Here is an 18,709-nt window from a genome sequence, read left to right on the forward strand (position 1 = left end):
AGGGATTCTGGGGTTCCAAGGCTGCTACCTTTGTCTTGATGTTCATCCACGAATTATCTGTGGTTCTGCTGGGAATACACCATTTGTTTACTCAATGCATATGCTGCAGACCCATCCCAGGCCTGCTGCCCAGTGTGCATTGGGGTAAAAATGCATTATTGTGGCCAGGCGCAGTGGCGCACGCCTGTAATCCTAGCACTTTGGGAGGCCGAGGTGGGTGGATCACGAGGTCAGGAGTTCGAGACTAGCCTGGCCAACATGGTGAAACCCTGACTCTACTAAAAATACAAAACTTAGCCAGATGTGGTGGTGGGCACCTATAATCCCAGCTACTTGGGAGGCTGAGGCAGGAGAATTGCTTGAACCCTGGAGGCAGAGGTTGCAGTGAGCCGAGATTGCGCCCCTGCACTCCAGCCTGGCGACAGCGCGAGACTCCATCCCGGGAAAAAAAAATGCATTATTGCTCCATTTCAGGATGTGTGCTGCTACCGACTTGGGTGTTAGGCAGAGGGGGCCGCGTGTAGGAGGTGAGAGGTTTGGTGGCTTAAAGTGGCTGCAACTTGTTGCCCTCCCACTGAGAGGTAGAGTTTACTCCCCACTTGGAATCTAGGTGGCCCCTGTAACTGCTTTAACCAACAGAGGCAGTGGGAGGGATGTGTAAGAAAGCCTGGCAGCTTTTGCTTTTGTGCTTTTGAGAGCCCCAAGCTGCCCTATGAGAGGTCCAGCTACCTTGCTGGAGAAACTACTTGGAGAGGTCACGTGGAGAGTGAGGCTCTGAGACCGAACAGGACAAGAGAGAGGCCCAGTTCTCCCAATGTCCCAATTAGTGTCCCAGCTGAGCCCAGCCTTCCAGCCACCCCTACCAAGGCGTCAGACATGAGCCATTTGGGGTATTCCAGACCAGACAAACTCCTGATGACAGCAGCCCCAGCCTTCCTCCCCCTGCAACCACACAAGACTCAGGAGCTACCAGCACAACTGCCCAGCTGAGGCCAGTCTGCCCAAAGCATCAGGAAAGATAGTAAAATGATGGTTTTAAGTCACTAAGTTCAGGAGCGGTTTTTTTTACACAATGATGGATAGCTGACACAGAGGTGTAGCTTCATGTCAGGCTGGCATGGAAGAAAGATGCCGTGTCCCCTGGCACATGGTAGAGCATTGCCTTTTAAGTATATAAAAGAGGAGAACAGATCAATAAAGGGTTCCATTTAAAGGACATGACACAGGTGTGATGGAGCGAGTAGAGTTGTGACTCCTGATGTGGCTTGATCCCTTCATGGGTATTGTCAAGAATTCTAAAATTTGAATCCTGATCTAAACACAGTAACTTTTTGACAATCCCTCATTTAAAGCAAACCCTTTGATTTAAATGTCTTTCTCACTCATTCTCTTAATTCTCAGGCAGTTATTTTCTTGTGTCAAAAGAGAACAGGCAGTGCAGTTGGCATATCAGTTAGCTGTTGCCATGTTGCAAACCACCCTAAGACTTAGTTATTCCTCCCACATCTGCGAGTAGGTGGGAGCTGTATGGACCTGGGCTGGGTTGATCTGGGCTGGGCTTGCTCATGCTTCAAGACAGTTGGCCACAGCTTCCTGGTCTAGATCAGAATTGGCTGGGACCAGTGGCCTCTCCTTGTTGTGTATGTCCTATCCCTCCAGCAGGCCAGGCGTTTCTTATTGCAGGGACAGGGTCTGAGAGAGGAAGTGGACTCCCCAGTGCCTTATCAAGTTTCTGTATCACATTCACTACCGTCCCGTCTGCTAGAGCAAGTCACGTGGCTAAGCCCAGTCTCAGTGTGGGAGGGCTCCCCCAAAAGGGTATGGAATCAGTTAGGCATGAACAAATTAGTACATGAATGTAATCAGCCTGCCCCAGTTTGGTTGAAGGGTCTTTTCCCAGCCCATAGGTCCTAGAATTGGGCAAGGTCCTACCTTTGCTGCTTTCCAAATGTGTAACTTTGGGGCATTATTTAACCTGTGCCTCAGTTTTCTCATCTGTAAAATGGGTATGATAATAGAAGGGATGTTGCAAGGGTTTGAAAAGGGGATAAATGTAAAGCATGTGGCACAGTGTCTGGCACAGAGTAGCCGTTGGTAAATGTTAGCAATTATTAAAATACCAGCCAGCTTATAAGCAACCCAAGGCCATAGGCACATGGAGAATTGAGAGCTACTGGGGCTGTTTGGTTTCTTTCCCTTGACCTCCATGGATAAACAAGGGTCTCTTTCATTTAGGATGTCACCTGCTGAGCCCTTTATGAGTGTGGACAGCAGCTTCTTGACACCCCTACACTTACCCTATAGCACCTGTGTATCTGAGGGCTCTGGGCTGTCGTCTGTAGATCGTAATGAGGCCCAGGCGCCCAGACTGAGGTCCGAGATGTGGGCCTGGCTGCACGGACCCCCGATTGAAGGCACCTGCTGCCGAGCCCAGGCATGGCATTTTCCCTTGCTGTCCTCAGGAGTCCGAGTGCTGCCAGATTTGGGGTATGCTGCTTTGGAGAACAGAGAGGATTCTTTTTTGTTAATTTTTCTGTAAAACTTGTTCTTTCATGGGATTTCCTTCCAGTCCCTGGAGAAGGTCACAAAGGAGGTGGATGGGGAAACCTGTCATTAGATTCCGATTTTGAACATGTAGTACCTGCCACTGTCCAGGTGCAGAGGAACCAAGGGGGATAGCTAAAGTCCCTCATGGGTGCTTGTACTGATTACGTGGCTGGGGCAGGAGCTGGGGATGCTGGCACTTCCCAATTCCTGGGCTCAGGGGCTGGTAGGGCCTTGGTGGGAGCAGAGGAGAAGGCGCCCGGCAGCTGGGCTCTGTCAGCCGCATGGAGACGTGAACCCTGCCGGCCAAGGAATTCGGGGCCTGAGTCTGAGAGGCTGCTTTGGACGTGCATCCTGGGCCTTGGAAGAATCTGAGTGCCCTGGGCAGCAGGCCCGATGGGGGACGTGGGGCCCGGATGCCGGGAACTGAAAGCTGGCCTGACTTCTGAGGCCGTGGAGCTGGCTCTCCAGAGGCCTTGCTGCCTCCAAGATCCAGCCGCCAAGCGTTTACCCAGGCAGGGCCTTCCCCACGCCCCAAGTCATTCCCGCCCCAGCCCTCAGAGTCTTGCATTCCTCCTCTCTGTACCTCCTCCTCCTGGGCTGGACACTGTGCTCTGTGACACTGTGGTCTTGTTTCCATTGGGAGTTTGGTAATAGTAATAACTGATAGCAGTGGGAAGGACCGTGATAACAGCTAGCATTGAACAAGTGACCCCTGGGTGTCACAGACGTGCTGATCACTGTGTGTTTGTCATTTCATCGAGTCTGTGCCCTGTTTAACGGACATACTCAGTAAAGCACCCTCTTCACAAGGGTTCTGTTCCTGTCCACTGTTGGTGTTCCTTGGATGTGGTGCTTACAGCATGCTAGGCATTGCTCTAAGGTTTCACGAGGCAGGGATTCTTCTCATCTTCATGTTCCAGACAAGAATATAAGGCTCAGGGAGGTCTTAGATTCACCCTCCACCCAGGGTGGAGCTGAAAGTTTGACCCCGGTGGTCAGACTCTGACCCTCAGCCCTGCTGCCTCCATGCCAGGTCCATTTCCCTGGCCTTTGACATTTTAGAAGGCAAATTCCCAACAAAGTTTTTTCATTTTCACCTCGTTCTTCTGTGAACAGAGCAAAACTTGCAGTCACTTGTAGATACCAGCACGTGGGATCTGGTTAGTCAAGGTGGTGGCCCACTGGTGAGTGGATGGGGGACTTCTTCAAAGAGTTTCCCTGTTTGAGAAAGCGTGGATCACTGAGTCACAGAGGCGTCTCCTTGTTTGGGCGGGGGGTGGGTGGCTGTCTCCCTACCTCCCCTCCCATCTCCAGCCAGGGGTCATTTAGCTCTGCTTATTACCTGAGGACCACCGTGAGCCACGTGTCTGCAGTCTAGGTTGAGGGAGGTGCTGGGGCTGAAGGGTTAATAATAGGCCCCATCTTCTGTTCCGACTTTTGAGACCACAGAGGTTTCCTAGTATGTCATAGGCCATAGCAACCCACAGGCAGCTTTTGGTGGGGAATGGGAGCACACCCACCTTCTGGTTCCCAGTAGATATAGAAGATGCCTTCCTGGCCTTGCAATTAGAGAGAAAAGTTCAACCCATCAAGACTGACTCCTTTGTGAAATGGGAATCCTCTTCTGTGCATCCTGTACAGAAGGCCTCCCAGCATCTGCTTGGATACCTCCTGTGACAGGAAGCTCACTCCCTTGATTGTCCTTTGTTGGACAACTCTAGCTCCTGGAATGATAGAGAATTTGGGCCTTATGTGTCATTAGTCCTGCTCTGCCTTCAAGAAATATGGAGAATTGTCCTTCTTCCTCTGGTGAGGGAGTCATTCTCTCCCTGTCTGAAGGCAGGAAGCTGGCTTCTTCCATCCCATCTCTCAGGTCGTCGTGAGTTCTCACTGTTCCTTGAGGTCCTACCCCTTCACCATTATGCCATCAGCTCCACGACTCGAAAGCTGTGTGGATATAAAGTACTCACATGTATTAAAATAGGGCTTGGTACGTGCTAGGTATATCAATATTAGCTGTAATCATGCAGTCATCTTTCTGGTCATCCCTATACCAGGGTCTCTCAAACTTGAATGTGTATATGAATTGTGTGGGGATGATGCAAAAATGCAGATTCTGATTTTGTAGGGTAGATGGGGCCTGAGACTCTGCATTTCTGACCACTTCCTAGACTATGTCAAGACTGCTAGCCCTTAGTCCACACTTTGAATCGCAAGGCTGGTGTAGCTATGTCTTTCTTTATATATGAGATTTTGTTTGCAGGTGGCACCTAACCTAGTAGAAAATAGTAGAATCGTCACCTCCCAAAATATAGGTGTAATACTTCTATTAACATAGCCCAACATTGTATTACTTTGGGGGGAAAAGCATTATCTAGGCTTTCCACGTAACTTTTGTTCTCTGGCTTCTATGTCTGACATGGAAAAATTGCTCTGCAGTTTGCATATATCTTGATGGATCTGAAAGAAGGTGTGGGTCACTAAGGAGAGATGCTTTACCTCTGGACTTCCCTCTGCTTCTACAGCTGGGATGTATCATGGACCTAAGTCCAGAGTTGAATCAGTAAATGGAATCCCAAAGAGTTCCCTAGAGCAGGGATCCCCAAACCCTGGGCCAAGGGTGGGTACAGGTCTGTGGCCTATTAGGAACTGGGCAGCACTACAGGAGGTGAGCGTCTGAGCTCTGCCTCCTGTCAAAATCAGCAGTGGTATTAGATTCTCACAGAAGTGCAAACCCTATCGTGAACTGTGCATACAAGGGATCCAGGTTGTGTGCTCCTTATGGAAATCTATCAAATGCCTCATGATCTGAGGTGGAACAGTTTCATCCCGAAACCGTCTGCCGACCCCTCTCCCTTTGCCCCCATCCATGGAAAAATTGTCTTCCATAAAACCGGTCCCTGGTGCCAAAAAGGTTGGGGATCACTGCCCTAGTGCAGATGTCCTCAGGGCAGGTGTGGCTGATTTGGGTGGACAGCAAATGAAACGGGAATGGCTGGTGGCCTGGTACTGATGGGATTCCTTAATGTCCAGGCCACATTCATACATGGAAAGGAAAACTTACACCCTTCAGTATTTTGTTTATTGCTCAGTTCATTCAACTTACATATCTAATAGAGGAACCAGTATTTCTTAAAGATTTAAATGCTGATTTCAAGTTAACTTAAATAACTGGGACTGAGACTGCAAGTTTAGAATGACAGGTCACATACCCTAACAGCAGGTAACGGTAGTTATCAGCTTGTCTGCCCTTGCAAATAAGCCCATGCCAAAGCTATGCTGTTGAGGCTATAGCTTTAATCCATTGTTTTGCCATTGTTTCTGCATCTGACCCCACTGGGCTGAGATCTGTTCTTGGCTGAAATGAAGCAGCAGCTCAGCAGGGTGGCTAGAGCTCAGCCTCATGCCCAGGTAGGCTGGGTTGAAATCCCAGTGCTGCCACTTGTTAGCTACTTGTTCAAGTTTCTTTTCTTTTCTTTTCTTCTGCTTTTTTTTTTTTTTTTTTTTTTTTGACAGAGTCTTGCTCTGTTGCCCAGGTTGGAGAGCAGTGGTGTGATCTCGGTTCACTGCAACCTCCACCTCCTGGGTTCAAGAGAGTTCTTCCACCTCAGCTTCCCGATTAGCTGGGATTACCAGCGCCCGCCATCATGCCCGGCTAATTTTTGTATTTTTGGTAGAGATGGGGTTTCACCATGTTGGCCAGGCTGGTCTCAAACTCCTGACGTCAAGGGATCCACCTGCCTCAGCCTCCCAAAGTGCTGGGATTACAGGCGTGAGCCACCATGCCTGGCCTCATATTTCTTAACTACTGTCTGCCTCAGTTTCCTTGTTTGTAGAATGGGGAAGTAGCAACGTCTGCCTCATGGTTGTTGTGACGATTAAATGAGTTATAAACATGGGGCGCTTGGGAGGGCATCTGGCACATGGTCAGTGCGGCACACCATTTGGTCTTCCTATTTTGCTGTGACCTCACTGTGCCTAAAGGAAACCTAATGTCCTCTCCGACCCCAGCACTCAGATCTTCCTCGTTGCGCGGTGACTCTTGGTGAGCCTTGGGCCTGGCTGCTTCTCCCAAGATGGTTTAAACTCAAGCCCCTGTTCTTTAGACTAAGTTCCCCTTTTTAATACTATTTCTCATAGAACATTTCAGACAGACACGAAAGTAGAGAGAATACGGAAATGAGTTTCCTCGCGCCAGTCCCTCAGACGCAAGCACCAGTCGAGTTTCTTGACTTCCTTTTTAAGCATTAAACTTCACTGGTGGTGAAAAAGAGCTTTTTAAGCCCACGCCTTCCTCATGGGTTTTGTTTGGTTTTGCTTTTCTATAGCCCAGCATGCCCTGAGGTGCTGCACGGTGGAAGCTCTGGGCAGCTGGCACTTGCAGCCCACTCTAGTCAGCCTGGTCGGGGGCACCATTAAGACAGGGCTGTGCCTTGCTAGTTCCAACCTGTAATTAGTGGAGCCGCCCCGAGGGTTCATCCCTCCAGAGGTGGTGGCCCAAGTCTGGGTAGTTCACGCTCCCCTATAAAGGCAGCGGGCAAATGGATCATGTTGGAGGCCTTTGCTGAATGCTTTCTTTTCTTTTCTCTTCTCTTCTCTTCTCTTCTCTTCTCTTCTCTTCTCTTCTCTTCTCTTCTCTTCTCTTCTCTTCTCTCCTCTCCTCTCCTCTCCTCTCCTCTCCTCTCCTCTCCTCTCCTCTCCTCTCCTCTCCTCTCCTCTCTTTTCTCTTCTCTTTTTTTTCCTTTTCTCTTTTTGAGACAGGGTCTTGCTCTGTTGTTCAGGCTGGAGTGCAATGGCACCATCCCAGCTGACGGCAGCCTCCCATTCCTGAGCTCAAGCAATCCTCCTGCCTCAGCCTCCTGAGTAGCTGGGACTACAGTTGCATGCCACCATGCCAGGCTAATTTTTAAATTTTTTGTAGACAGGTCTTGCTATGATTCCCAGGCTGGTCTTGAACCCCTGGGCTCAAGTGATCCTCCTGCCTTGGCCTCCCAAAGTGCTGGGATTACAGGAATGAGCCACTGTGCCTGGCCCTGAACACTCTTTTGACCTTGATACTATAGGTGACCTCTCCTGCCAATCCAGCTTTCCCATTTTTGGAGGAGGCCCAACCTTTTCCAGAACTCTTGGGCTTAACCTCATCTCCCCATACTGATACTTTTGTGTTTGTTCAAATAATATTAGAACACATCAGATCCTCATGTAAGTCTGGCCTATGCCTGATGGAGGAAGAAAAAAATCCCCACATGTGTTCACACCCTCCTATATGTTAAAACCAACGAATGCTAAAGATGTTTAGAAACAGTCATCCTTCTTTTTCTTGAGATGGTCATCCTTCTTTTACATTACAAGTGTGTCTTTATGTACTTTATATTCACCTTCATTTTTATTTATTTAACAAGCATTTATATGGTGCTTCTAAGGAACTAGGTATTGTTTTCCAAGCGCTTTACAAATGTGAGCTAATTTAATGCTCCCAGCAACTCCACAAGGCAGATATTATTATTTGCCCATCATACAGAGGAGGAAACTAAGGTACAAAGAAGTTTATTAGTTTGCCCAGCATCACACAACCTGTAGGTGACAGAGCCAGGACCCAAGCCTCAGGCCATGTGGGGGCATGGTCTGGGCCCCACACCACCTGGCAATGCCGTTTGCTCCTTTACTGCCATTATGAGTTTGTGGCCATTAGCATTAAGCCTTTTTTTTGTTGTTGTTGTTGTTGAGATGGAGTCTCACTTTGTTGCCCAGGCTGGAGTGCAGTGGCACAATCTCGGCTCACTGCAACCTCCACCTCCAAGGTTCAAGTGATTCTTCTGCCTCAGCTTCCTGAGTAGCTGGTAGCTGGGATTACAGGTGCCTGCCACCATGCCCAGCTATTTTTTTTTTTCAGTAGAGACGGAGTTTAACCTTGTTGGCCAGGCTGGTCTCGAACTCCTGACCTCAAGTCATCTGCCTGCCTCAGCCTCCCAAAGTGCTGGTATTACAGGTGTGAGTCACTGTGCCCGGCCAGAATGAAGCCTCTTTTTAAATTAACCTGATAATTCTTTTTTGAGGTACTGACTGTTAGGCTGAGGCTGATGGGGTCCTTCCTGGTGTTCCATGCAGGTAGATATTTGCCGTTTGTTCCTCAGCCTGTGAGCTGCGCTTCTCTCTCCATCTGTAGCCACTGTGGCTCCCCTGTGGGCAGGGTGTCTGGCGCTGGGAGGGTTGGGTGCTGGGTTGATGCAGAGTTGAGGGAAGCATTCACATCCACACTTTTCTTTCCTTCTCCTCAAAATACTTTTGCCTCCTGAGACAGACGGTACTGAGGACGGATCATTGGCTTTGCAAGTGGGCAGTGGCCCTTCTGGGTGGCCTGAAGACAGCAGAGGAGGAACGGAGCCTGGGGCCTGGCTGAATTGGCCCTCTCCTGAGCCTGTGGAGTCATGCTCTATTGTAGCAGTAAAGTCTTTGGAGATACCCTCTTGCCATGCTTCCTCTTTTTGTACAGATGAGGAAACTGAGGCAGACCACCCAGCTCCCAGGCTAGCATTTTTCCCTACCATAACCATTTGTTTCCCAGTGAGCTGGACTGAGAAGCTACAGCAAGACTTCAGAGGGTTTTGAGTTGATTGAAGCACGGAGCCAGTGAAGGCTGTGGAGCCAGGAAGGGGCCCTGTGAAAATAAAATGAGCGTGCGCCACCTGGGCTGGGGTGCGAGCCAGGGAGCTGGTGTGGCAATGCGTTCTCCAGGTAATTGACCTCAGGCTATATGCCTGGCTGAACCAAGAAATAGGTGGGGTGGCTGCCCGGGGATAGGCAGGAAAGCTGTGTGGGCGGGGGCCAAGCAACCCAAGGGGACCCTGTCTGCTTGTGTGTGGAACAACCTGGGCTGTGTGTGGGATGTGATGGCCTTGGTCTCAGATTGGAGAAGCCCATTGCACCTGCCCCATTTGCATTCTGGGCAGTGACTTGGCTGCCGCTGAGGACAGAGCTGGCTAAGGCCACAGGGAGACGCCAGGCCTGTGTTTTGAGCAGGGGCCAGGGCTGGATGCTGGAATAGGCAGCCGGCTCAGGTCCAGTCCACATTGGCCTTGGATCAATGAAAGCTGTCCCAAGGCCAGCGCGTTGCTGCTGCCGCCGCCTGGGGGCTGCTGGACTGGGCGGGGCCTTCTAAGGCCACTGTCCCCAAGTCACTGGCTCTGAGAACATTGCCAGCATGTCCTGGGCCCACTGGGGGTGGGTCCTAGCCCTGCCCCATGCCCTCCCCACTCCATGATTCATAGTTTCACTTGTCCCTGCCTGGCATCGCAGCCAGGATGGTTTTATCGATGCACAGAGAAAATACAGAGCCTGCAGAGAGGAGGAAGAGAGGGTTAGCGGTGTCCTTTTTTGTCTGCTATTTTATGTGTCGTTTTCCAGGCACCATGCCAGCTCTGTAAGGGCCTTCAGTAATGAGGGAGAAATGTACGGACCCTGTCCTCAACGAGTTTAGCCGGCTGGGGAGCCTGCAAGCCACAAGTAGTTGTCTCACAGAGCGCCAAAGGCTGCAAGGAGGATGCAGAGTGGGGCCCGCACAGAGCCCGGGGCTCCAGGGATGGCTTCTCTGAGACTGGAAGAATGAATTAGGAGGCAGCGAGAAGCAGCGAGTAGGGGAGCATCCTGCACAGAGGGTGGTGATGGGGAGGGGGAGGGGGCGGAATTGAAGGCATGGGCTGTGGGGGAGGGCTAGTGCAGAAGCGGGTGGAGACAGGCAGGGTCAGTTGTAGGGACGGCATCCCTGGTCCCTTTACCCAGGGCAGTTCCAGTCTCTCCCAACCTGGGTATGAACAGCACTCCCTTTGTCTCTCTAAAGTGTCCTGGTTAAGGCACTAGCATTATATGGGCAGTCCAGGTATAAGTACCTATGTTTATCTCACAAATAGGGAAACCAAGGCTCATGGAGAGTTTGTTGTGCAAGGACTTGGAACGAGGATGGAACCGAGTGGGGCCGGGAACTGTGCCTGCTTGACTGGAGAGCTCAGGCTCTCCCATCGCCCCACACCATCCTCCTTAGTGAAATTAAACATGTTCTCTGAGCATAGACTCTGCCCAGCCTCATGCCCAGGTGGCAAGGGTGAGGAGGAGCGAGTGAGCAGGACTCACTCACTGGCTTATGAGGAGAATAAGCTCACCCTGGCTTAAGCCAAAAGGGGAGATTTTGTGGTCCACGTCATTGAAAAATGTAGGGGAGGTACTAGCTTCAGGCACCATTTGATCCAGGGGCTCAAATGATGTCAGGACCCCTTTTGCATCCCCTCGTGGCTCTGTTTTCCTGGGTATTAGCTTTTTTCATAGCTAGAATTTCTCTGTGAGGTGGTAAAGTGCTCTCAGTAGGGTCAGGCTCTCAGCTCACATCTCACCAAAGTCAACAGAGAGAAAGAAGATGTCCTGGGGTTGCCTCTCCTTGGCATAGCTTGGGTTGTGTGCCCGGCCCTGACCAGTCCCCATGGCTGGCGTGGTGCGAAGCTCTTACTGGGCAGGCCTGGGTCATGTGCCCTCCCTGGTGGTTACGGGGAGAAATCAGCCTGCCCACACCATGTGGGTGAGAGGAATGGAGGGGCAGGGTTTCCAGATAAAATATAGGACACACAGTTAAATTTGAATTTCAGATAAATAGCACTTCATTTTTTTGTGTTTTAAGTCTATCCCAAATACTACATGGGACATACTTATGCTACACAGTGATCTGTTATCTGATATTCAAACTTAACTGAATGTCCTATGTTTTTATTTGTGAGGTCTAGAAAGCCGCCAGGGAAAATCAAAGTGTTCCCAGAAGAAGGAGGAAGGGGGCGCTGGAGACCAGGGGCTTCTGAATTTCAGATGCCCACTGCAGGAGCCAGATGAGGGACAAAGAGCTTCCTACAGCCTCGGCTTCCTCCCAAACTTACAGTCTGTGAAGCCAGCCTGAAACGCGCTGGCTGAATGAGAGAGGTTCCTGGGGCACAAGGTGCTTAGAACAAGCTTCTTGCACTTGAATTAGGCTCTGAAAGATGGGGAGGGGGTTTCCTGAAGTGGGGCTGGCATGGGGTGGGGTGGGGTGGGAAGAAAATGTCCATTTCCATTTTTCTGCCTCTCAGGCCTGAGCCCTGGCATCAGGGTCCCTGGCCTCTCACGTAGCTGGATTGGCCACAGTGTGACCATTGCCTTTCTGGGCTGGACTGATGTTCCACCTGCTTTGTCTGAGACCAACCAGCTTGCAATTCATTGGCCTGCCTACTCCCTGTGAATTCACCAAGTGGGTCAGGATTCCTCCAACTACCCGCGTAGTTCAGGGGAGAGCCCTGTGAGGTCAGGGACTGCAGAAACAGAGCCTGAGGTGAGGGTCACGTGCTAGTGATTCACTCAGGACACTGTCCCAGGGCAGGGCAGGCCAGTGAGGCAGTGGAGGAAGCAGGACAGACAAGAGGAAGAAGCCAAGCACAGGTGCCATTTCAGGCAAAGTCTTGGCTTCAGTCTGACCCTCTGGGGGAGCTCTGGGGTATAAATTATGCTTCTGAGTTTGTCGTGACAGGAGGTATGGGCTTTCATTCTCCTGCACCAGGCTCAGGGCCACCTGGGGTGGGGACACGGCAGTTCTCTGAGTCTGCAGACATAGCCCTAGGGCAGGCCTCTGAAGAGGGCCCCCAGGTGTGAGCTGCTGGTGGGGAGCACATAGGGAAGGGAGGGGGGCACACAGACCCGGGGGGATCTGCACGTGCACACGGTGCCCTGGGGAGGTGGACTGCTATCAAAGGGTCTAAAGAAGTAAGGAGACCCCTGATCTGTGAGCACCTCGTGGGAGGCCTGCTACAGGTGGTCTGGAAAGGCTTGAGAAGTCCACGCAGCATTCCCCAAACGTCCTGGGCCCCCATGCCTGGACCCACTACGTTTTCCTTTGAAATGTTTGGTTGCCTGAGACAGTGCTTGTGGAGAAACCGTCCAAAGGTGGGCTTGTTGGTCTGGGTGCTCCAGCCCTTGGCAGTCAGGGTGTGTGGGGGCTCTTGTCCTGTGCCTCTGCTCCCCGAGGGAACTCATCGCTCGCTGGTTCTTTGCTACCAGCTGTGGGTCCTCTATATTCGGATCCTGGCTCTGCTCCTCTTTGGCTTTGTGACCCTGGGTAAGTCCTGTCCCTTTTTGAGCCCTTAGTTTCCCCATCTGGACTCTCAGAGGTTCCTAAACTAAAATTCACAAAAGGACTTGTAGTGGGGAGGTTCATGAACCCCCTGAAATTCAATGTGCAATTTTCTTTGCATGGCATTTTTCTAGGGGGACATTCTCAGAGGGGCTGGGTCCTTCTTGCAGGTCAGAACCTCTGAACAAAGGCTCTGGCCTGGCCTGATGCTGGTGGTCCTGGTGGAAATGTGGGGCTCAGACAGCAGAGGCCTCTCTTCCAGATCCAGGAACACCCAGGGGCATGTCCTGAGAGCCCTGGCCTTCCTCTCGGGAGTGCTCCGTTTCTCCCAGCCTTACCACTCTCTTGCCTCCCCTATGACTCTAAGTCTCCCCATCTGTAAAAACAGCAATAGCTCACACGTGGACCTCCTGGGGTTGTTGGGTGAGGTACAAGTGTGATGGGTGAGGTACAGGTGTGATGGGTGGAGTCACTGCCATGAAGACCTTCTTATCCCCAGGCCCAAGAGTGGCCTCAAACCTTCCATGCTGACCATACGGACTCTCCCAGACCTCACTGGCTTCCCAGGTGACCACCCTGTGGTGACACGGGCCCCTGATGTGGGCTGTTGACTGGACCTGCAGGGGCAGGCAGTGGCCTTCTAGATCCCCATACTTTTTGCTTTGAGATCTTTGGTTGCCTGAGAATGGCAACAGCAAAATTTGGTGTGTGCTGGTTGGGATGGGCAGGAGAGAGTGCCACCCTGCTCCCCCTGAGCCCCCGATGACAGCCTGGCTTGCATGCTCAGCTGGTCTCATGCCATTTCTGGAATCAAAGCGCTGTCTGCATTACACAGCCCCTGGCTTCCTATGCATGTACAGTGAGAGCAGTGAGAAGCAGGCATGGGTGTGGCTGTGGCCTCTTTGTGGCCTGGGTGCACTGTGTGGCTGTGGAAGGGAGCAATGGGGTCTGGGTGGACCAAAGTCTGGAGTCTCCACCTTCCCTCCCAGCTGGAATCAGGAGGCCACCCATTTCACCAGAATGCTGTAGGTCTTGCCACTGCTAGGGCCAAGACCCTTTTAGCAGACTTCTGAGTGTGAGTCTTTCTAGAACCAACTTGGGTGCCCATTTTTGTATGTTTTAGCATTTTTTTTTTCCTTCAAAACACTTTGCTGTAATTTCTGATTGTAGAAGTAATCATGTGTGTTCATGGAAGACCATTGGGTGACCTGGAATCCAGCACCGGGCACCATTTCTGGGAGCATTTTGGTGCCCGTCTCTGCAGACGTGTGCCTCCTACTACAGCGCGTGGAAACACGTGCAGATAATGTTAGGAAATGTAATCACATTTTCTCTGCTGTTTGGCAACTACTTTTTTCTTTCAAGAAAATGCAGGGCGTGTTTTTCTGAGTCAGTAAATACAGAGCTGCATTTGGTGGTTCAACACACGCTGGTCGAGTGCCTCCGCCGTCAGGCGTTGATACATAATGTGTCAGATGGTGGGAATGCCCCAGAGATAAATAAGGGATTGTGGGAGAGGGGGCTGCAGTTTTAAATAAAGAGATTTGGGAAGACCTCACCTAGGTGACAAGGTGATAATGAACCCAAACCTGAAGGAGGGGCAGGAGGGAGGGGTTATCCAGAGGAAGAGTCTTCCGGGTAGAGGGAACAGCGTGTGTGAAGACCCTGAATGGGGAATGAGCTGAACCTGTTGGAGAAACAGCAAGGACGCCTGTGTGGCTGTGGGCGAGCGGGTGAATGGGGAGGAACAGAAGGGGTGAGGGAGGTGATAGGGCAGACAAATTGGGTGGGGCTTTGATGGGCTTTGGTGGGACTTTGGGGAATTGGGTAGGGGTTGGGGTGGCGACGAGGGCAGAGAATAGAAAATGGTTGTCATTATTCAAGAGGACTGTGGCCTGGAATGCGTGGCAGAAGTGGAGGAGGTGGCAATGATTGGTTTCAGGGTGTGTTTTGAGGGAGAGCCAACAGGATGTGCGGAAGCCTCTGGGGTGTCTGGCCAGAGTGAAGGAAGCAGGGAGCTGCCCTGTGTACACAGGGAAGGCACTGGGGAGGACAGGTTTGGGGGCCGCCAGGCGTCCGGTTTGGACACATGAAGTTTGAGGTGCCTGTTGAGCAACTTGGTGACATCAAACAGGAGGGAGAGCCACATCATTTGTTTTAATGGAAAAACCGCTTTGGAAAAAGTTATTATTATTTTTTTCAGTATAAAAGGGTTGAATGTTCTTGGTTTAAAAAGAGAGAATATAAATATAAAATTCAAATCACCCAGAAAATCAGACAGCTGAAGGAGACAGCGCCCCAGTTCCCATTTCTGAAGTGGAGCGTGGCCTTCCAGAAACATTCTGGAAAACGCACCTTTTTGTTTATCAACAGCACAGGAGCGGACTAGGCTGCTCCTCAGCAGCTTCCTATCTGACAGCACTGTGGACCCTGGGCCCTCATTCCCAAATGGCCCCTCTCACCTTCTCGGCTTTTCCACACCCACCTTTGGTGTGATCATCGTGCACTGCTGCGTGGCAGGCGGGTGGGATTGGTGCCCTCATTTTATAGATGTGGCCACTGAGGCTTTCGATCACAGCCCTGGCAGCATGCGAACTGCTGAGTTTCAGAATGAACCGAGTCCTCTGGAAGCCGCCAGTGTGACCCTCTTGATTATGTCCTCATCTGGTGGTTGGGGATGGTGGGAAGTCGAAATCCACAGTGGCTCCGGAGGAGGCAAAAGACTTCACTGGCAGTAGAGGGAGGAGGGCGCTCCGGGTGAAGGGGACAGGATGGTCCAGGGCTGGGAGGCTCCAAGTGGGCGGTCTGGCCTGTGAGAGGGATGGTGACAAGTTTCTTAGAGCTATTTTGGGGACAAGGGGACAGAAGGGGCCAGGAGATGAGAGTGGGAGGCCCAGGGCTGATGGGATCAGAGTGGGTAGGAGCATGGCTTCTGCAAGATGGTTTCTCCAGGGCACTGCAGGGCCGCATGGGTGGACTCTGTGTGTGTGTGTGTGTGTGTGTGTGTGTGTGTGCGCGCACACCTGTGCTCATGGACACTCTTGTCCTGTCCGTAAAATGAGGCCTCAGGGTATAGGAATCAAGAGGCTCTTACTTCATCTGTTTCGTTTAGGTTCAGAAAAGCAAGAAGCTCAAGCCCTTCATTCCTGAGGCTGAGCAAGAAATTCCAGGCTTCTTGGGTCCCCAAGCCCCTTCCCTGGGCAGGAGCACACATCCTTTCCCCACAGTGAGGTGGCCTATGGCTATGGGGCACCCTTCCTTGGGGCCAGATGACAGTGCTGCCTGTCATAAGCAGCCTGGCTCAGGGCCACCCTGTCGGCAGGTCACACGTGCTAGACCCTGGCAGCAGACCGGGGGCCTGTCCCAGGGCCAGGAACTGCTGGCAGATGCCGCCCCAGCTGCTTGGTGATCAGAGGCACGCCACAGGCCCTCGGGCCTCTCCTCTTATCAGCACTCGGCTGTGTGGCGTGGCGGGCCAGTGGCTGGGCTAGTCAGCAGTGTGGCAGGTGGTGGCATGGTGGGGCCAGTGGTGTGGTGGGCAGTGGTGTGGCAGGATCAGTGGTGCGATGTGCAGTGGCATGGTAGAGTCAGTGGTGCAATGTTCAGTGGTGTGGCGGGCAGTGGTGGGGCAGGATCAGTGGTGTGGTGGGGTCAGTGGTGTGGTGGGCAGTGGTGGGGCAGGATCAGTGGTGTGGTGGGGTCAGTGGTGTGGTGGGCAGTGGCTTAGAGAGGTCAGTGGTGGGTGGGAAGGCCGTGTGTGTGTGGTCAGCAGTGGGTGGGAGGGCAGAGACTCCGACAAGCGCTGAGTGCACTCTCTCTGCTCTCTGCAGCCGGCCAGAAGTGGGGTCGCCTGAGGCCTTCTGGGGTGATGAGGCAGTGCTGGGCTGGGCTTTGATCCGCTGTGGCATCCCTGACAAAAACCAGGGCAGAAGAGAGCATGTGAGGGAAGAGAATGAAAGACCAGGGCCCGGAGGGAGAAGGAGGTGACAGCTGTGACTTGGGACACGCTATTTGAGCCAGGCCACTCACCAAGCACTGTACACATACTCTCCATTCCTCTCACAACTGCCCTGCCAGGTGGGGGCTGTCATTTCCACTTTCAGCTGGGGAAACTGAGGCATAGTCAGGTAGACTCATTTGTACAAAGTCACACAGTATAAAAGCAGAAGAACCAAGGCTCAAACCCAGACCTGACTGACAACTCGAGTGAGTCACTTAACCTCTCTAAGCCTCAGTTTCCTCATGGCCAAAGTGGGGGTCATCGCAGAGCCCAGCTTCTAGGGCTGCTGGGAGCACTTGGTCGGTGATGCCCCTAACGTGCTTCATGGAACACTTGGCAGATGTCGCACACTGACTAAGACTGGTTATCATCATCACTGAGTCCTTTATATTCATGACCTCAGTTACCCCCAGGCCCCAACATGCCCATCAGATCCCAGTTTCCACTGTAGAAATGCCTTTGAACACTGTCTAGTCGGAAAATTGTGGTCAGACAAACAGCAAAGTCTCCCCACCCCGTGCCCTGCCTGGCTCTGGGCAATTGGCCCTACATTGGTTCATCTCTTAAGGGCTCTGAAATGCCAGCAGTTTGAGATCAGGGAGCATTCTGGGTGATGTCAAGATTTACTCTTTTCTGTTGTTGGTGTTGGTGTTTTGGGTTTTTTTTCCCCCATTAGTCATTTTTTCTCCATGCTCAGAAATCACACTGAAGCCATGAGTCTTCAAGGAGGGTGGCCAGGTGGGAAGGTTGGTGGCATCTCCTGGTGCCCACCTTGTCTGGTGTCTCTCCCCCACCCACCGTCTTCCTACTTATTGGAACCAGCCTGACCACTGTGGGGGCCAGGGGGTAGGTTCTTTAAATCCTGTCTTTCCGAAAGCATGGTTCAATGGTTGATGTCCTATTGAGGGGTTGGAGGGGCAAGTGGTGGGTGTCTTATATTTTAATGATTCTGAATTTGTTCAATATGAATTGTCCTTAAAAAAACAAAACAAAACAAACAAACAAACAAACAACAAAAAACACCTAACCTGGACAACATAGCGAGACTGTGTCTCTACAAAAAGTTTTAAAAAATTAGCTGGGTACGGTGGCCTGTGTCGGTGGGAGTCGCAGATACTCAGGAGAGTCACTTGAGCCCAGGAGTTGGAGGCTGCAGTGAGCTGTGATCATGCGACTGCACTCCATCCTGGGGGACAGAGTGAGACCCCCATCTAAGAACCAAACCAAACCAAACCAAGGCCCCCAACACCTGTGATTTTATTGATCTTATTGCTTTATGGCAAGACTAGGTTAAAAAGAGAGAGAGAGCCAATTTAAAGAGAAGCATTTAAGTACTCATGGTAGCCCAGAGACATGGCTCTGGAGGAAGGCGCGACCATGGCATGTGGATGCCTGCGACTTGCTGGTGTGACAGCCCAGGAAGTGGCCTTTGCTGGCCCTTTGGTGACTGAGGCTGGCTGAGGTTCAGGATTGGGCAACCCGTCTCTAGGGATTATGAGTACCCTGTCGGGTCTCAGGCCTGAGGGCTGGAGGAAGGGAGTATGGTGGTTTCAGAGTCAGGCCCAGGGTCTGAAGTCCTTCCTGCCAGCCCTGCCGTCCCACTCCTTGCTGGCTGTCCACCTTCCCTGTGCAAACTCTCAAGCCCAGGAAGCAGGCTCAGGCTGGGGTCCCCAGGATGTGGGGAGCTGAAGGCCGGGGATCTACAGTTAGGAGCATGTCGATTGCATCTTGGGCAGATAAAAATAGTCCAGGAGAAATCTGAGGAATTTTAATTGCTGCTCAATGTCTTTGGCGTCTTGAAGGCCTGGTCCTTGCAGGCCAAATACAAAAGGCCTGGTCTGTGTGTGCAGCCCCAGGAGCCTGTCTTCCCTCTCGCCTCAGCCTCCGCAGCTCTGAGTGGAGTCTGCGGGTGAAGCTCCTGCAGGGGCCCGCGATACAGCAGGGCAGCAGGAGCTCGCTCCACTGGCTCCCAAGCTTGCCTGGGAATCCTGGATTTAGCTTTGAGGAGGCTGTGGATTGCTTCT

At 51.9% G+C, this 18,709-nt stretch overlaps 1 protein-coding gene across 1 annotated transcript in view, besides 2 other annotated features; it reads left to right on the plus strand.

The window, feature by feature from the left end:
• The window catches only part of NKD1 (NKD inhibitor of Wnt signaling pathway 1), a 100,854-nt gene that overhangs the window by 34,169 nt on the left and 47,976 nt on the right, over nucleotides 1–18,709 (plus strand). The gene's annotated exons all lie outside the window — the stretch shown is intronic.
• Nucleotides 5,543–6,128: an enhancer, noted in NCBI's record as "OCT4-NANOG hESC enhancer chr16:50622018-50622603 (GRCh37/hg19 assembly coordinates)". NCBI's record gives its function as "activates a minimal SCP1, AML or CMV promoter by ChIP-STARR-seq in primed H9 embryonic stem cells {active_cell/tissue: H9 hESC(primed)}" and the evidence as "EXISTENCE:reporter gene assay evidence [ECO:0000049][PMID:30033119]".
• Nucleotides 15,416–15,916: an enhancer, noted in NCBI's record as "H3K4me1 hESC enhancer chr16:50631891-50632391 (GRCh37/hg19 assembly coordinates)". NCBI's record gives its function as "activates a minimal SCP1, AML or CMV promoter by ChIP-STARR-seq in naive H9 embryonic stem cells {active_cell/tissue: H9 hESC(naive)}" and the evidence as "EXISTENCE:reporter gene assay evidence [ECO:0000049][PMID:30033119]".

This window comes from Homo sapiens, chromosome 16 (assembly GCF_000001405.40).
Source record: "Homo sapiens chromosome 16, GRCh38.p14 Primary Assembly".
Taxonomy (NCBI): domain Eukaryota; kingdom Metazoa; phylum Chordata; class Mammalia; order Primates; family Hominidae; genus Homo; species Homo sapiens.